The following is a 20,608-nucleotide window of genomic DNA, read 5'->3' as shown; positions in this document are numbered from 1 at the left end:
AAAGTAAAAACTAGTGTTATGTGATAATGTTATATGATAATGTGATAATGTTTGATAGAATGGGATTCCTAATCAGGTAAACCTGGGTTTAAGTCCCAACTACACCTATTCCTATTTTATTATTAAGTCCCAACTATACTATTCCTAGTTGCAAGAGAATCTATGCTGTTAATTTCTCTAAGCTTTTGTAAGTCTAATATGGGCCTAATTATACTACCCTAATGAGATCGTCATGAGGATTAAATACAGTAATAGACTTGAAATGTTTAGTATGATACCAAACACATAACAGCCTTTAGCTATATCTTTATATTATTTATATAGGTCATCTTCTAAACAGGTATTTTTTTCTGTTTTGTCTGTTTTTTTTTTTTTGTTTTCTGTATTTGTGTGTGTGTGTGTGTATGTTTCCTTTCACAGATGGATACACAACTGATGACATTGAGTTTTACTGGCGTGGCGATGATAATGCAGTAACAGGAGTAACGAAAATTGAACTTCCACAGTTCTCTATTGTAGATTACAAACTTATCACCAAGAAGGTTGTTTTTTCCACAGGTTTGTATCATGGAAAAGTGTTAAGGGAAAATAATCTTCACCGTATTTTGTTAAACATGTTCACTTATATTAGAGTTCTGTCCCAGGGAAGCACCATGACTTTACAAGACAAATCCACTGAAAACCCTCAGTTTCCCATGAAGTCTATTGTTCTACTCGGGACCCATACTATTATTTTCCAGAGGCCACCCCAGCAGAGCTGAGAGGATCATCTCTGTGTATCCCATTTGCCAGAGAAGCGACTAATTTTTAGAAAGAATACAGGAAGAGAAATAAAGACCTGGCTCAGAGCTGTTCCCCAACATTATAACATTATACATCCCACAGAATTGACCATAATCCCTTGATTATGATTATGATTGGGAGACCCGAGTTGCAGTTCATTCAAGTCTGATCACGTGAAATTCTCCAAAGACAATGGGAGGAATTCACATTTTCTTCAAAGGATAAGAATTTCTTTACACAGTTTCACCTCCTGTGTGAGCTAAAAGCTGTTTCAGGTGTTAAGATTATCCCGAGGCCTTTGCCATCTTCACCCTTACGGCATGGAGATTTTATATGGTCATACTTTATTTCATCAGCAAAATTTTTGCATTTTTGTAGCAATAAAGCTGAGGAAAGCAATCATTTGCTAGACACTCATTTAGGCAAAAAATATTAAACCCACAGGGATATCCTTCTTTATATTTTTCTTATTGAAATAAACCCCACAGGCACAGAAATAACTAATACTGTAATGGCCCTTCTGCTAAGAAGTCACATACTTTTTGTGCCTACAAACCACTTCAGGCAAAAGCTCTGTGACTTGATAAAAATACAATGCCTTTAACTTTAAAACAACAACGACAAACAGAAACTTTTCCTAAGTTTGAGGTCCGCTGAATTCCTAAAAATCTATGGAAATGAGTTCCTACTTAGAATATTCTTACTATCGTATTCAGACACTTAGCCTAGCCCTCCAAAAACTAAACAAGGCTTTCTTCCAAACAATGAGAATATCCTCTCCAAGCTACTTATCATGTGAACTTCCTATAGTCTAAGACTGTGCTCTGTTATTTGTCTTGTTTTATTAAAGGGTAATTGCCCAGGTCATCCAATCAAAGAACCCAGATTTAGGAAGCTGATTCTTTAGTTGTATCTCCCACAAATATTGCTCAAATGCAATGGGTCTCCACCTTTTGGTTGATAAGGTATACTTTTAGAACTCCAATGGAAGCAATGAAACTATTAAAAAAAAGAAGCATATACGTGAAAACCTACAAAAACCTGCATTCCCTGAAACATCACCACTGATCACAGACTTAAACTGCAATCTGTGTCTTGAGAAGAGTTTTCTTTTACTATGACCAGAACATGCAGCCTCACTCTCACATAAGATTAAACTTACAGGATGAACTTACTAAGGAACAATTGAAAGAATGAAAAAAAGAACTGTCCCAAATTGTCCTAACAATTACAGAGGAGGGGTATGTTTGATTCACTCTATGAGGCTGAGTAGGGAAGAGCTGGAATTCTTTTAATTACTGGTGAGTACAGGATGCATTCCACACTGAGTAACTCCTGGTAATTAGAAACTCAGGGCTCTCAGACTACTTTTGCAGAAGAAAGTGTCCTTCACTAAGAGCTAAAACTGAACTGAGAGAAGAGGTACTGTTTATGCACCTTTAAAGAAAAGTATCCTATAAATATTGATTGATAATGATGATGTTCTAAAATTGCCTTTCTAGGTTCCTATCCCAGGTTATCCCTCAGCTTTAAGCTTAAGAGAAACATTGGCTACTTTATCCTGCAAACATACATGCCTTCCATCCTGATTACCATCCTCTCCTGGGTCTCCTTCTGGATTAATTACGATGCTTCAGCTGCAAGGGTGGCATTAGGTAGGCCATTTTATTACTGCTTGTGGATTTTGACTCTGTGTGTACATTTCTGTGTTCGCATGCACGCGTTTTCCTTATCCTGAAATTTGTGGTGCATGACGCAACTGAACCTCTCACACTGTAAGAGTTTCGCTATGAGACTTTGGGTGATCTGATTCAGCATTAAATCAATTAAACACGAAGTAAAGCTCTTTCATGTCAGTATTAGTTAACCGTATATCTGTTGATAATGAGATTAGTCCCATCAGTTTGATATTTTTATTGAAACATATTTCATATAGTATTGCTTGCATAATTGTTCAATTTGTATCTGTGCTTCTTTACCTAAGAAGACCTCCCTTCTACGTTTTTTTCTCCATGAAAGACAAGAAGATGTTGTGTGTAGCAAATGGATAAGCAGAAAGAATTCTAAAGTCTTGTTAACATTTCAGAGTAGCATGACTAAGGCAGGAGACAACAAAGTAAGAATATTGAGAAGTAATCTGTGGCATCTCTCATCTTATGCTGTTTTTTTCTAACAAACACAAAAGGAGAATAAATTACATTTCATGAACATTTTTGTTATTAACTTCAGATAAAGTAAATTTATGGCCTTTTACACGATCTTGATTATTATGGATTCTGACTATTCCCTTTAAAATGTTGAATTGTTCACTTTTACCATTAGATCTCAATTCAATCATTACTTTCTTAGAAGAGCCACTCATTTATTATTCAACAAGTAATTGTTAAATACCTAATATATGCTAATTGTACTAAGCACTGGAGATAGAGCAGTCTTCTGAAAGTTATATCTAGCAGTAAAAGATATACAATAAATTTAATAACCACATAAATTATACAATGTGGTAAATCTATAGAGGGATATAAAGCAAGGGGGCATGGGTTTGCTAGAAGTTCAGTTTAGAATAATTAGGGCCGACTTCACTCAGAAGTTGTCATTGGAACTAAGACTTGAAGATTGAGAGCAATGTGGATACCTGGGTGATAATATTCCAGATGACTGCAAAGGCCCTGGGTAGGAACAAACCAACAGTGTCAGCAGGAGGCTAATGAGGCCAAGTGAGTTCAGGGGAAGTAGCAAAGATAATGTTAGGGAAAGAGGCCTAAAGGATCACAAAAGGGCTATTACAAAGGGATGGTAGGCCACGACAAAGGCTTTGCTTTTATTTTGAATGAAATAGCCATTGACTGAGCATAAAAGTGGCATGATTTGATTTCTGTTTTAAAGGGATCACTTCGGCTACTGGGTTAAAATTAAATTATGTGGCTCAAGGATGGGAGGAAGGAGAAGAAATGACCTCTCAGGCTGAGTCAAGCACCTGTGATATATACACTTGCAGTACCATAGACCTCCCCTGTGTGTAGACTAACCACAGTTATAACTTTTGTTTTCTTAGTGGTGTGATGTCCTTTTCCCCTTCAGCAATGAAAGATCCATGGAGGAAAGGTCCATATCTAGTTTTATATCTGCAGTGTCTTGCATGGGGAATGGTGCTCAGTAAACATTTGCTGAATGAAAGAAGGAATAAAATTTGCAAATATCCCATTTTTCCAAAGTTGAAACATGTCTTTTTTGTATCGATTACAGGAACAATAAATAATTCATTAACTTTTTAGAAGACATTTTTAAAATGTCTTTATGTGAGCAATTTATTACTAGTTTCAGAAATACTTTAAAATGAGATTTAGATAAGTAGTAAAATCAGCAATGTCAGTTTTATTATATACGTATGATACAGGATCATCCGTAGTTGAAATGATGAAGAGAAAATTGAAACTGGAAAATGTCTCAAAATGACAGCTATAAAGAGGACACGAGAAATGTAAGATACCTGTATCTAAAGCAAGACCAAGGTTTTATGGGCGTGCTCAGAATCAAATGCTCAGATTTATTTTTTTATTCTGTAGCTGTTTCTTGGTGGAGTATAAAAACAAAATAGAAACTATGACATTATTACTACTGAGATAAAATTAAATCAGAAAACTGTGTCCCCCCAAAATCATAGGAATGAAATTTAACCTTCAGGATGCGTTATTGGATAGTGTTTAAGGGCCTGGATTCCTGAGTCAGAAAGATTCTCATTCCAATGGCAACTCTATAACTTTCCATCTGTGTGATCTTGACCTCTGAGCTTTGTCTATTTTCACATCACTATTTTGCTACAAAGCTGGACTTTATCATATTCAGGACCTTGGACTTTCAGTGCATTTACCTTCCGATTACAGCTTAGAGGGAAACTACTTCCCACTGTCAAGAGATACCAACTCAACAGGACAAACAATTACAGCCTGACCCAGTGTCACATTTTCCATAAGCAGTCCTAGAATGCATCTGTGTTATTTATCTAGGCATTATATGCCTAATTGTCCGATCCATATACATGAGGGCTATGATTCCTGCTTCTCTGTTACCCTCCACTCCAAATTCCCAGATGTTTATAATCATTTATTGATATTGCCTGTATAATGTATTCTTTAATTTCAGTACCCTTGCTGTTATTTTAATTGACTTCACTTCCATCATTCAGTTGGATTACTCTGAAAACCTCTTAACTGGCATTCTTTTTTTTTTTTTTTTTTTTTGAGACGGAGTCTTGCTGTGTGGCCCAGGCGGGAGTGCAGTGGCGCAATCTCGGCTCACTGCAAGCTCCGCCTCCCGGGTTCACGCCATTCTCCTGCCTCAGCCTCCCGAGTAGCTGGGACTACAGGCGCCCGCCATCACGCCCGGCTAATTTTTTTGTATTTTTAGTAGAGACAGGGTTTCACCGTGTTAGCCAGGATGGTCTCGATCTCCTGACCTCGTGATCCACCCGCCTCGGCCTCCCAAAGTGCTGGGATTACAAGCGTGAGCCACCGCGCCCGGCCAACTGGCATTCTTTACTCCTGCCATGCCTGCTTCTCCCCATCATCCACACTGTCACCACAGTGATTGTTCTAAATGCAAATTGCCCCCTTGCTTGAAGCTGGCCCCTGCTCCACATTGCCTTTAATTTTAAGTTCAAACTCCCCCATTAGGCTCTCTGCATGGCCCTTAACCTCCAGTCTTCTCACGATTCTTCCCATCCTGTCTTGCAATGTACCCACAATGATTTTTCCGAGATCATGGTAATGGACTGTGTACTCTCCCCCAAATCCAACCTTGATATAAAAGCTCTCTCCACCAGCAGTCCCCATAAGTCAAAAATGACTTTTGACCCCCAGTTCTGGGTTGCCTGGGTGACTTTCACTCATTTTTCAGAAATCAGCTCAAAAGTCTCTATTTCCTAACCTCATCCCTGGCACATCAGAAAGTTGACCTAGAGTCCTCTCCATATTCTGAACTCTTACCTTACACATGTGCCCATCATAGCATTTAATTCACGTTTTAACCCCGCACTAGATATATAACTATAAATACAAAAATTTAATTAAAAGAAGGGATCAAACGTTCAGTGATCACTGTAAGCTAATTTATACCTATATCCATTCCCTATCCTAGGGCTGGCATGCAATAGTAAAGGCCCAATAAATAGATTGTGGCATATATGAATGAGAAAATGAATATAGATCACCTTTCCAGCTATTAAGAAAGAAGAAAAGAGATAGGAACATTATTACTCTAACTCTCCCATTTTTTTTCAGGAATCACAACTGTCCTCACAATGACCACAATCAACACCCACCTCCGGGAAACTCTCCCTAAAATCCCCTATGTGAAGGCCATTGACATGTACCTGATGGGGTGCTTTGTCTTCGTTTTCATGGCCCTTCTGGAATATGCCCTAGTCAACTACATCTTCTTTGGGAGGGGGCCCCAACGCCAAAAGAAAGCAGCTGAGAAGGCTGCCAGTGCCAACAATGAGAAGATGCGCCTGGATGTCAACAAGGTAAATTCAGAGGGCAAGCCCTCCTTGCTTCTTAAACTCATGGAAGAATGCTAGCAATACAGGTTGATGACCTTGTTGAGCAAATGAGGAAACCAAGCCCAGGGAAGAGAATGGGTAATTTTCCCCAAAGCACACAAACAATTAATGATGGAAGCACAATTAGGGACCAAACTCATGACACAAGATTTGGATGCCCTTTCCATTAACAAGAGGAGTGACCAAACATGAGAAGACCTTTATGATGCTTTCTCACATATTGAGTATAGTACCTATAATTATTTATGCATTCTTTAAATTTATTCACCTAATTTATTTAAAAAGGAAATTTAATGTTGCTTCAGTCAGTATTACTTGCTGGACAATAGCTTTACAAATATATAAGTAACAAATTTAAAAAACTATATCATTAAGTTCTAATTTATACTAGATGAAGTCTCTGGCCCTGAAATCTGCATTCTCTTTGACTTAAAGGAAAGATAAGCAAGTATACAGATGTGTTACAGACCCACCAAGCAACAAACTGAGACTTTTTCTTTGAAGCGATCAGAAGAACATAAGAAGAGTAAGGGGGAAAAGACAAATAATTTTCTCCTTTAAATGACAATGCCTTGCACATATACCACTTATCATTGCAGCATTTGACTATATGAGGCCACCATCTTGCTTAAGTCAGACATGGTCAAAGATTCCCACAAAACTATAAACCCTGTTTATTTGTTAAGTCAGTAGTTTTCAATCATGGGTGCCAATGGAATGACCTGAACAGATTAAAAAAAAATACTGAAGCCTTGGTCCCCTCCCCAGAAAATCTGATTTGATTTTCTTGGAGAAAGCATGGGCAACACAATTTTAAAAAGTTCCCCAAGTTATTCTAATCTGCATCCAAATTTGAGAATCACCACTTTAAGGTTTTTGATGGTAGTCCCAGTAGAGCCAGCTCTCTTTACTCTCAATATTAAACTTCACCTGGCTTCCTGTTATAGCACTTGCTGCACTAACAGAATACTTGTATATGTATCTTCCCAGAGGCCACATTTAGACCTTTAGCAATAGCCAAAGAAAAGTCTTATTTTCATATCTGCCCTAAATACTGTTTATGAAGTAGTGTCTAATATTGGACCAATAAATAGTTCATCATGATGGGACTAGGAAAACATTAATCAATCCTCTTAAACCATTTGGAATTATTAATTATAACAAAAGCTGATTATTTCCTTGATGTTTTGATATTTCTAACTTCAAATTAATTTCAAGGATAGCAAAGTATAAATAATCTCTGCCATTGAGTTGTATTTGGAGCAAACCATATGGAAGCTTCTAACTCAGTAATGTTTTTCACATATCCATAGGTCTAATATTTGGTTTTAGACTCTTCTCTAATCCAAGGCACTTCTTGCTTAGAAGATGATATTTGCAACAATGCAAATTTTAAGTATGGCCCTTGGAAACCAAAAAACCGTAAGGGTCTAGGAAATTGTCAAATTCTTTCCCACACCCAAGGTTTTACTTATTGGAATCACAATTTACCATTATGGTTCTCTCAGGCTGTCAAATGAAAGAGTATTTTCTAAACCTATTTTCTGATTTTCATGACATAGTAGTCTTAGAGAAGAGAAGAGAATAAATAAATAAATAAACAAACAAATAATGCTATCTCATAGGACTTCAAAATGAGTCTAAATCAATTGCATAATGAAAGGCTGACTTAATAAGATAACATCTGATCTCTTCACTTTCATCTACCCTATTTTTTATACCAATTTGCATTTAAATGATAAAGTTAAGACCTAGAGGGAGGAGGTTTTATACAAACTGAACCTGCAGAGCTTCAGATAGTTCTAAAACGGAAATAGAGAAAAGTTCACTAGGCAGTTACCCCATAGTGGTGAAAAGCCTATCCTCTTGGTTGAAGGTAGACCCTACCATTCAAGTGATGGAATATGAGAGAACAAAAAAGATACCAGAGATTATTTAGTATTTTTCAGTGGTTCTCAAAACAGGGTCATTTTCTTCTCCCAGAGGACATTAGGCATTGTCTGGAGACATCTTTCATTGTAAAAACTATAGGATGAGGTTTACTACTGGTATCTAGTGTGTAGAGGCCCAGGTTGCTGCTACACATTTGGCAGTGTGCAGGATAGCTTCCCTGTAACTTCTTGTTTTCAAACATGAGAAACTGAGGTACTGAAAAAATAATATCCTTGTCGTCTAAATATTCTTTAGCAAAGTTGTTTCTCCATTTTCTTTGAGCAGCATGTGTAAGAATCAAGACATCATGAGTCATGGTTTAGAACAATGGTTCTGAACAAATATTTTAGAGTCTTTCAAGTTCAATATTTACCTTCCCATTTAACAACTGGGTGACAGTAGACAAAAAATTTAGCCTCTCTGGCCCTTTAGTTTTCTCATCTGTGAAACAGGGTTAATTCCTCTCTTATAAAGTTACTCATGAACATAATTGTGATAATGTGCAAAGAGGGTAATATAGTCCTCAATACATGGTAAGCACTCAGGAAGTGATAAATATTAATAAAATATTAAAATATAATAAGTGGTAGGCATTATTACTTTTTAAAATAAAATTTGCAGTCCCCATACTTATTGGTGATGCTAGCGTGTGTGTTCTATATGCTCTACCATGTGGAATGCAGTAGCATCCCTAAAGCAGTGTATTGTTTAGACAGGAATGTTTTATGTTAGAAGTTTTAAAGTCAAATCAAGAAAATCATTTTTCAAAGGGTATTAGCTATAAAATCTATAGCAAATCAACTGCATCAAACTCTATTAATTATTTCTTAGAGCAGAAAACCTACAACCCATTTTGATTAGATTAAAACAAAATGCTGACCATCAAGCTTTCCAGACTCCCACTATTTCTTTGTTCACCCAGCATGAAAGGTTAGAGGAGGTCCACATTGCTCCTGATTATGCGGTGCTGTCCTTTGTGTCAGCATCATGAATAATACCACCCCATTTCTTATCAAGAATGTCCCTTCTTTTCAACTGTAATTCTATAGTTATTTTTTTTTTTCCAAGATCAAGCACTTATAATCAGCTAAGCATTGTTGGCTGCTCTGGGAAAATCAGGAGTGGGATTAAATTTTTCACCTTCCTTTGGTGATTTCCTAAAGATGGAAGGAGTGTGTCAGATTATCTAAAGTGATTTTTGAACTGTGCTCTGTCCTGAGGTCAGGGAGGGTTGAAAACGGGAAGCCTGCCCAGGTGGGAGCCCAGTGTTGATTCAGCAGATGCTACCGCATTTTTTTCAGCCTCTTTTTGGTATTAGCGTCTCTTAAATGTTTGTTTTAATAAGTGAATTTGCAGCTCTTAAAATAATTCCTGTCCTGTCATTTCACTGACGTAAAAGCCTATGTGCCTAAAGAAGGTGAAATAGCCAAGGTCACATAGCAAGCTTTTAAAAGTTCTGATATGGATTTTTCTATCCTTCTCCAGTGTACATAAAAGTGTGCTGGCAAAAAAAAATAAAATAAAATAAAAAATAAAAGTAAAAAACAAACAAAAACTGAAAAGCTAATTCCATGTTAGTTTATGTATTCCAACTCAGTTGATTTCACCTGAAAAATCCCAGCTACCTGCACATGAAAGTTTATAAGCAAGTGTCACTTTCACCGTTGTCTTCATGTGCCAAGTTAAGTAGTAAAGTACTAAGATTTTAAAAATAAACTTTAAACCAACATGAGGTCTACTGAATATTTTTTCCCAAGTGTCCTTTGGAGTAGTTTAAACATGATCTTTATTCTAATGCTAGGAGAGTCTTTCCTATTTTCCCTTGCATTCTTCTAGTTTGTGTGTGTGTGTGTGTGTGTGTGTGTGTGTGTGTCCTAATGGAATTTGCTTTTGATTGATTTCACCCACTGTTCTTGCCCGTAGCTTCAAGTTTCAACTCCCCTTACTTCTCTTTTAAGCTTTATATTGTTTCCTTGTTTATTTTTCTGCCAAATACTAAGAACACGCATATTTGAGAATCAAGTTATTCTTGCCTTTTTACCACCGTGGTATTTGCACATATCAAATGCACCTGCAGCCAACAGTTTTCTAACTAAAGCTGCACCACAGAGATCTCCATTTAAGGGTGTTCTTTATTCTGCATTCATGGGTGCTGTGACTCTTTGTGTTGTCTTTATCCATTGTGTGTAATCTTTTCTAATGTAAAGCCACTAAGATATTTTCAATCAATTTATTTCTACTGCTTGGAATTTGATGTTTTTAAAACAAAACATTTTTTAAAAACTTACTCAAATTCCCATTCTCTGTTAGCCTTTATCTAAAGGATTTCTAAAGGCCAGTAGCATTTATCTATATCCAATTTACTTTAACCATCAGGCCTAATCTAGTAGCATCAATCGACTTAATTAGCACATTCTCTACTTTGTCTTCCAGATTTTTTATAAAGATATTAAACAAAATGGGACCCAATATCGATCCTTGTGGGACCCTACTGGAAACCTCTCCCCAACTAGACGGACTACCAATTACGATTTCTCTCTGTATACGGTTAGATAGCCAGTTTTTAATCCATTTATTTGTATTTCTGTTGGGGCCAATTTGTTTAGCTGTTCCCTTAAAAAATGTGTGGGATCTTTGCAGATAACCTATGAACATGTATCCACAGAGTCTTGGGGATAAGTTAAAACTTTTTCAGGAGACCTTAGTGGGACTTTCCTAGGTTTGCTTTTTCAGTATAGCTTTGGTGAACCTAAGCTTCAGTGTTTCACTCAGGAATTGTTGTTGTGTTAGGGAAAGAAATTAAATGGATCGTATTTTGAGAATCCTTTTCATTTGTACTGAGAGGACAAGAGTGTCATTATTTCTTAGTTTTATTGTTGTGTTTGCTTTTTTCAGACTCTTTGGATTGAATAGGTGAATTAAACATTTCTTTTGTTGGTTGGCTGAGAATTCAGAAATTTGTCTACATTACTAACTTGTGTCTAAGAATGTTATGCTTGCATCAAGTCCTTGTTGATTTCTTGTTATTTATTTCACAAATAGGTATTGTATTGGCAGGCTCATCATTATTATGATAGATAAAAGCCAATAATTGACATTGTTGTTTACCAAAACTCTTGACTTAAATGAACTCTAAAGAAAGCCTATTTTTGACTCATAGTTTAGTTTCTGAATCCTCATGTGTTGGTGATCTTAATTGGCAAGTTGTCATTCATATTGCCCTCCAAATTGAAGGAGGAAAATGATAATTGTCACCATTCCACCCTATCATCTACTACTTGTTCAACTCCAGTGTTTAGCAAATGATATTGGATATTTGTGAATCTTTTCTATGAGGACTTGATGCCAGAAGTGCTTCCATTATTATATCTTCTAAGTATCAGGCTATCCCTTAATTTTGTGGCTTTGACTCCAGAATCTTTAATACATCATTGTTGTTGCCATTGGGGTAGGGGACAGAATGGATAAGCTACTGAATTGCTCCTTTGTGCTGGTATTTTGTCACTTTTTGACTTCATTACTTGTGTTATATAGTAATAAAGTCTAGTAAATAGTAATAATTAAATTATGGAAGAGATGTTTGAAATTTTGTTAATCACTATTTTTTGTTCCAATCCCCTAAACATTCCATCACCTACTATGTCTGTGCTCTCAGACTATCTCATTGATGTTGTTGCTGCTGTCCTTATTTTTTAACTTTAGTTACGCTTGTTGAAATTAAAGTAGACTGATTTGATTGGGCATTATTCTGGGTCAATTGTTAATTATGTAGAAGAAAACATGTATGAAAGTTGGATTTATGATGAAAATGATTGAAGAAGGCTGTATTTCTGAAAACGAAAATCAAACACACTACATGATTATTGTAAAGACTGGGTAAAACCACATGAAAATTCAGGATATCCTCAGATGATGAGGATATTTTTGAAAATTTGCTCATTGGTGCATTAAAGTGTGCAGTTGATGGCTTGAAAGCGTTAATACTCTCTTATCCCATGATTTGAACACTAATTTGTTAAGACCTCTTCCTCTATCTCATAAAATATCATATTAACAAAAATGTTCAATGAAAATATGAATTCTACATTGAAATATGAATTCTAACGTCTTTTGTTTTTATACTTTTCTATGTTGGTTATGTCTTTATGCTGTCCTTTAAGTCCTCTTTTAAGTTCACACTATGAAATAAGGTCTAGTATTTGAAAGTTCAAATAACAAGCTTTCTAGTAAACTTATAACCTATAAGAGCATCAAGATATATGTCACAATTGCAAAAGGTACTGGGAAGATTAGTGGATTTTATAGCTATATGAACTGGGTTCATATTCAAGCATTGTCATTTATAAGCTGTGTGACATTAGACATGTTTAACCTTTCCAAGCTTTAATTCCTCAACTGAAAACTAAAACTACTAATTTCTGTCTTATACAACTGCTGAGAAGAATAAGTGAGATAATTATACCAACGGCCTTATGTAGTACCAAGCAAAGGACATTCAAATAATAGTTGTAATTATTCTGGAGATGGTGCCAGGGATTGTGTGTCTTTCTCAGATTTTATTTAGTTCTATAACTATTATTCTGATTACAAAACAAATTCATGGTCATTCTTAAAATTACACAAAGTATAGTGAAAATCACCTGCACACTCCCACACAGATATAATCATTATCAACATTGCCTTTTATTCACATTTAATGACATATTTTATATAAAAATCATATTCTACTCTTCTGTATACAGTTATTTCCCAGTTAACTTTTCATATCTTTTAGTATAAGTATACACCATTTCTAATAGCTATAAGATATGTAATTGAATGTGCATGCCATAATTCATTTAACATATATTCAATGAGCACCTATTGTTTGATGTTTGCATTGTTTCTAAGTGATTTTCCATTATAAACAAGTATAAAATAAACATCACATTGCTGACAGGTTTACACACCATTGTTCCTGATATATTTCTTAAAATGGATTTGCTAGGTTCAAAGTTATATGACTCTAAAGTGGTGATATATGTAGTCAGGTTGTTCACTAGAAAGGTTCTATGATAGTTTACATACCTAATAGCCATCTGAGAGTGTGGTAGTACACACATATACATATAAACACATACACACAGTGTATACGCACACAATTACCTTGCACTCCCACAAATGAGGAAGAAACAGAAAACATGTTTAACTTGGTCCAATTGTGATAAGTGCTGGAGAAGAGGAGAGAGAGTAGACTCCAAAATCCCATGTCTAGTCTCTATCCTCTCTTTCCAAAAGCCATCAATAATAAAATGTCAATAGAAAAATAAAATAGAAACTATCAACACCCAGCTCAAACTGAGGCTCTGCAAAGATGCAGAGATGCATAAGCAGATCCCATAATTAGCGCAAGCAGAATCAGAAGAAATCTACCTAAATTATAAGTGAACATAAAGGGAAAACCCAGAAGCAATGTCTCCATCAAGATGAAGCATCTAAACAAAGAAACAGCATGACAGCTATGCGAGAAAACCACCACATGGGGAAGGCAAGGAGAAGACCTCAACATGCAAAGACAGATAATGACCCTTATATTTTTAAAAAAGTATATTTTGGCTGGGCGGGTGGCTCACGCCTGTAATCCCAGCACTTTGGGAGGCTGAGATGGGCGGATCACTTGAGGTCGGGAGTTCTAGACCAGTCTGGCCAACATGGTGAAACCATGCCTCTGCTAAAGATACAAAAAATTAGCTGGGTGTGGTGGCGGGCGCCTGTAATCCCAGCTACTAGAGTCTGAGGCAGGAGAATGCTTGAACTCATGGGGTGGAGGTTGCAGTGAGACGAGATCGCACCACTGCACTCCAGCCTGGATGACAGAGTAAGACTCCGTCTCAAAAAAAAAAAAAAAGTATATTTCAAGATACTAAAAATGTATTAAAAAGTATTTTAAAAGTATATTTAAAAAGTATATTTCAAGATAAATTAAAACTTCCTGTAACAAAATATTTTCTCACCAAAATTGAAAGAATATGTGAAACCAAAAATCAAAAATAAAATAATAAACAAGAAGCGATTAAAAGAGAGAAAATGAAGGCAAAGCAATCCTTATGAAACTAACAAACCAATCTAAAACAGTAAGAAAGATAATCAATTTGGCCAAAAAATCAAGGCAGTAGCACAAAGTTCAGGCTGTAGTAAATCATGCCAAATGCAGAGGAAAAAGTTGTATGGATAAAAATCTTTTAGAGGAAGCATAATAAATATACAGAACAGGTACTGTGGATTAACCATGCAGAACCTTAATGTTAGTAAAGAATGGAAAAAAATGGAATAGAAAAAAATATTTAAGTCTAATGTCAGAATCTAATTATAAAAATGCTGATAATAATAAACACTTCTTCTCCGGGCACAGTGATTCACACTTGTGATCCCAGCACTTTGGGAGACTGAGGCAGGCAGATCACTTGATCCCAGGAGTTCAAGACAAGCCTGGGCAACATGGTAAAATCCTGTCTCTAGAAAAAGTACAAAAATTATCTGGGTATGGTGGCACATGCCTGTAGTCCCAGCTACAAGGGAGGCAGAGGCAGGAGAATTGTTTGAGCCTCGAAGGTGGAGGTTGCAGCGCGCCAAGATTGCACCATTGCTCTCCAGCCTGGGTGAAAGAGGGAGACTCTATCTCAAAACAATAATAATAATAACATAATAAACTTTTCTTGAATACCTACTATATGCTTAGACAATTTACATATATTATGTCAGTTTTTATTATTACCCCATATTTTTATTACTATATTCTTTTGAGTAGTGAGCTGAGACCTGGAGAACATGATTAACTTTCTTAATGTTAGATAGCTAAGCAGTGGTTGAACAGAAAATATGACTACAGAAGCTACATATTTAACTGCTATGATGTACATTCTGTATTTGTACATATATATAATGAAAGTAATTAATCCTGCTAATTGCCAGGTTGTTCCCTGGAAAAATTTTGCTGTACCTATTAGCACCGTTTGAAATTAATAAATAATTACATTAATTAATTTATTTACAGGTATGTATAACAAGTTTAAAAGGATGTAATGGGTTCCAAGATTAAAAATTATACAACATATTTAACTACTTAGTATATTCCTCTGAAATTACTCAATTTCCAGTTAAGAAAAAGTGAATGACCTACAAGGGAGAAAAAAAAGTTAGGTTTCAGTATACTCCACAGCATATTAAATATCGTTAGACAATGGAAAAGTTCTTATAAGTTTCTGAGAGGGAGAAAGTATAACCTAAGTTATTACTATTGATACATAATGACAAATGAAAGATACTTTATCCTCAATTTGCAAGGTATTAAGGAATAGCTTCTGTGAGTCCTTATTTGTGGGAAATAATATTGTAATATAACAATCTAGCCTCTGGTAAAATGTCGTCAAAGTTAGGAACTTTGGAACAGGAAAGACCAGTGTACTGGCATTTAGAACTAAAGATAACACGTAGAACTAAAGCTATACATGTCCAGGAGTTAAGGTTTCCAAATAAAACGGAATTGAAATATTTTAAAAAGCTGGATAATAAATATGTGTAAGAACAGCGAAACAGCAGAATAATCTTATGATGTAAACTAAAATTATGCAGTGGTATTTTTGAGGAGAGAGGAGATGTTCATTTGCTAATTTATAACAGGAACTTAGTATTTACTCTTTTATTTTTAGAGTTTATGAATCCAGAAGTTAAAGATTAATAATAAAATTAGCATAGATAACATAGATCACCATTATGACAGTGTTTCTCAAGGGATCTATCATAGATTGCCAACCTAGAGTCACTTGGGACATCTGCTTAAAAGTAGATTCTACCTGAGAAAATATAGATCAAAATCTTTAGTGGGGAAAGCTTAGTAATCTACATTTTTCTATGTCCCACGTTTTTGTGGTATACACTACAGCATGACAGCCTGAGGACCATTATAGTAGAAGATGTAAAAACTGATAAATCTTGCAAAAACCCTTCATAACCTGAAGGAAATGAAGAAAGATACAGATGATGTAGCTAAATCTTGATGTCAGAAATAGAGATAAAGATGACTGGAAAGCTAATTTAGAGCATAAATTCAGATGACAAAATTAAGGCCAAGCTTCTCTGTGTAGAGCATATATCAACTCATCTATGAAAAGAATAAGATTTTCAGATTGAATCTAGCAACCAATCCAACAAAATGCTTTATAATAGAGATATTTCTAAAGTAAAGGTATTAGAAAATGTTCTAAATAAAGTCATGGGAAAAAACAAATGAGGCAATTACAAATCTGAAGAAAGCTGAGAATTGATCATTATTACTATATAAAGATGAATTTAAGATAAAAGTATCACAACCAAGAGATAGTTTTATAATCATAATTACTATCCCAAATAAAGATATAATCATTATGAATCATATAATTTAAATCAAAAGAGCATCCAAATAAATTGAAGTGATAGGAAATCAAAGGAGGAAATGACAGAAACATTAAGTGGTATAATTATAAATTTTACTATTTGTATAAACTCTTTTATGTACAAGTCACGTGTGTCAAAGATACAATAAAAATTAAATTGAAGAACATTTAGAAAATAATACTAATTTTAAATACTACATAATTAATCCTCAGTTGTGTGGTTAAATTAGTTAACAGTGAGATGGCCATAGCTTAAAACATCTTTCTAGCAAGTAATTTTAAAAACTGAATTAAACATACAATTTAAGAAGTTAGAAAAAGTTCAGCAACAAAATACCTAAATAAAGCAGAAGGAATAATCAAGATCAATTATAAATTAACAAATTAGAAAATCAAAATAACCCACAAGTAAAATAAAGACATAATCGATAAAGGAAAAGGCTATTAAGGAAACAAAGAGGAAGACAATATGAATATACCAAAGCAGTAATTTTTAAAAGCATAACAATTAAACATTAAGGGGAAATTAAAAGAAAACTATGCAAAGATCTTAGAAAATGTGGATATATAATTCATCATGTCCTTAGAAAATATGAATTAGAAAAAAAATTAGCCTAGATGAAATAGAAAAGAAAAACGACCAATTAACTAAAGATGAACTTAACAAAATTGACAGAAAAATATAACTCCCACTCAAAAAGAGCATCTAGCCCATAAGATTTCAACAATGAATTCTATCAGACATGAAAATTCAAATACCTCTAGTGGTATTTAAACTCTTGTAAATAATAACAAAGAGAAGGAAAAACTTCCAAATGATTTAGATGGTCACATAACGTAAATAAGGTACCAACACTATATTTCAAAAAACAAAAGCATGTGAAAGAAACAATGGACCCACTTAACTGGTGAACATTAGTGGGGAAAATTTTTTTGAAATTGATTTTTCAACTGAAATCAGGAAAATACAGAAAGCAAACTACCTCATAACCACAGAGTGCTATTTCAAATTATAAGGGTAACATTTTCCATATAGATGAGTTGAAAGGGTGAAAAACTTTATATATATATAAAATAAATATATAAAATATATATAATATATTTTTATATTATAGCCTTTCCATAGATACCAAAAAGGACATTAAGAAAAATTAACAAAAATTTAATATTCATTCTTGGTTATAAATTTAAAATCTCTTAGGAAATTAGAAAGTGAAGAATGCTTCCTTGCCTGGGTCTCTGTGTTTATTTCTCTTTATCTACCTGTCTTATGAAAAACTCTGACTCTTGCCTCTTGGCTTAGGATGGAACAGTTCAGGCTAGAACAAGAAATGGATGCCCGCCATCACCACTATTGTTTATTTAAAAAAAAAAAAAACAGCTAATAAAATTACATTAGGGAAAGTAAGGAATATTGGAAAAGGATAAGAAATAATTTTACTCTTAAACAGGAACAACGACAATTTATTCAAACAAAATTTAAGGGAATGAACTGCAAAAGACTTAGAAACAATATGAGAAGTTTGGGAAGTTCCCACAGCTTTTTTCCTATATAGAAAATATATAAACAATAACAAAAATGTAATGGAAGGGAAGAAAAGAGCCCTTTTCACAGTAATAAGATTTTAATAAAAGAAAACTTTGTGTTTTTTTAAAGTATTTTTTAAAGGTAAAATTTATAAGCGATCAGTTTTTTCTAAAGTATTCTATGAGCTTTGTGTAATGTCATTGGAAACCAATGGGTTTTATTTTTGATTTTATTTCTTTGGTGGTTTATTGTAGAAATTTGACCCAATAACTCTAAAGTTTATTTGAAAGAAAAGTATGTAAGTGAGGAATCCAGAAAGTGAAAAATTTTAGAGAAGAATTTTTGTACTGGAAGTTTAAGTGACTGATAAAATCACAGCAGTGAATGCAATATAGCACTGGCCCAGTGTTCTCTATGTAAAGGAAACATAAATTAACTTAGAGCATAACAAATTTAAGTTCTTAATAAAAGTATAATTTCATATCATTGGAAATCTGTGAATTATTCAATAAACAGTGAGCAATGATTTGGGAGTATTTAAATATAATACCATATATCTAACCTACCCCTTTCTCCAAATTAAATTTTAGATAAGTCAAAGATTGAAATATTTTTCTAAAAATAGGCAGAAATACATAAAAGGCAAAAAATCATGTATAAATGTTTGAATAAACATGGATTAGATGAAACACGGCAGAAAATTCAGACTCTATAAAAGAATGATAGTATTCTTAACCTTGCAAAAATATTTAATTTCTATATATATTTTCTCTCTCTCTTACCAATCTTATCAGATAAATCTTTTCCTTTCACAGTGACCATATTGTTTTCTTTCTAATTACATTTTTAAAGCACATGGTTACTTTCATTTACATAATAGTCAAAAATATAAGAAAGTAAAACTCTCTGAATCCCAATCTTCCTGAGAAAAAAAACACCAGCAGTACTTTGCAAGTTTTTCATATATATAACGATTTATGCATCTATAAGAACTTCTTTCTCACTTTCCCTTCAGCAGCACTGATTGTTGCTCTCCCTTTGCAGTTTATAATGGGTATAATCTTGTTATTTTAACTTGTATTTATCATATTTCTTAAAATATTAAGCATTTTTTCATACATTCATACACAGTTTGAATTGGCTTCCCTGTGAATTGCCTATTCTTATTCTTACCCATTTTTATTAAGGGCTTTTTTTGTTTTCAGTTTCAAGAGTTCTAGGTATAATAAAATATTAACATTTATTAATATGTGTATTTCAGATATTTTTCCCCAAACTCTCATTCATGCTATGACAAGTTTTTAATTTTTAAATTGTCCATGTACTTATTCTATTATACTCTGTATGTTTTCTGGAATAGCTGAATTCCTCTTGGAATGCTAGGTTAAGCATATGCTCTTCTAAATTTTTCTGAGACTTTTAAAATAGTTAATTTATTGTTTCATGTTTTGCATTTAATGCATCTTGAACGATGAGTTATTGTTAGTGCAAGAATGATCAACTTTATATTTTTCCAGAAGTAAAATGAGTAACACAAGCATCATTCACTTATTTTAGAACCTTTTCCCCAGTGGTTACATTTGGAGAGTGGGACGGGATGGTAGGGGCACTTCTGCTTTTCTCTTTATATCTTTCTAAAGTGTTTGTTTTTGTTTTTGTTTCATTTGTATAAATTTATGGGGCACAGATGCAATTTTGCTACATGCATACATTTAATAATGGTCGAGCCAGGGCTTTTGGGTTATCCATCACCCAAATAACATACACTGTACTCATATTGAGTAATTGTTACAACTAGTATATATCACTTTTAAAATACATAAGCGTGTGAGTGTGTGTCTGTGTGCATATTCTTGCCAGTATGATCTTTTCATTACGTTGTCATTTTTTTTCTCTCTCACGCACACACACACACCTGCCACACACATGCAAACTACACACAAATAAAATTCCTACTTTTTCCAATTTATATAGCCTTTAACTGGAGTAACACAAGATAATTACAACCCCATGTAAATAGCACATTAAACGTTTCTAGTGATTTCTAATGATTATCGCTGTCAAGTAAGAATGAAAGGGCTCACAGCTGTAATCCCAGCACTTTGGGAGCCCGAGGCAGGTGGATCACCTGAAGTTAGGAGTTCAAGACTAGCCTGGACAACGTGGTGAAACACTGTCTTTGCTAAAAATACAAAAATTAGCCAGGCATAATGGCAGGCACCTGTAATCCCAGCTACTCAGGAGGCTGAGGCAGGAGAATCGCTTGAACCCAGGAGATGGAGGTGGTTTTCTGTGAGCCAAGATTGCACCACTGCACTCCAGCCTGGGCAACAGAGTGAGACTCTATGTCAAAAAAGAAAGAAAGAATGAATGAATAAATAAGAGGGAGAAACA

General features: G+C 34.5%; 1 protein-coding gene across 3 annotated transcripts in view; it reads left to right on the top strand.

The window, feature by feature from the left end:
* GABRB2 (gamma-aminobutyric acid type A receptor subunit beta2) overlaps positions 1 to 20,608 on the top strand; it is a 259,969-nt gene that overhangs the window by 211,215 nt on the left and 28,146 nt on the right. For 2 of the 3 annotated variants that reach the window (NM_021911.3, NM_001371727.1), the window contains 4 exons: positions 421 to 558; positions 2,286 to 2,438; positions 6,063 to 6,307; positions 10,709 to 10,822. In NM_021911.3, the coding sequence (NP_068711.1) occupies positions 421 to 558; positions 2,286 to 2,438; positions 6,063 to 6,307; positions 10,709 to 10,822 (650 nt within the window). The remainder of the gene's footprint in view (positions 1 to 420; positions 559 to 2,285; positions 2,439 to 6,062; positions 6,308 to 10,708; positions 10,823 to 20,608) is intronic. The other variant, NM_000813.3, reaches the window with a different exon arrangement.

The sequence above is a fragment of the Homo sapiens genome, chromosome 5 (genome assembly GCF_000001405.40).
Source record: "Homo sapiens chromosome 5, GRCh38.p14 Primary Assembly".
NCBI classification, from domain to species: Eukaryota; Metazoa; Chordata; class Mammalia; order Primates; family Hominidae; genus Homo; species Homo sapiens.
This window is presented reverse-complemented; position numbering and strand designations above follow the sequence as displayed.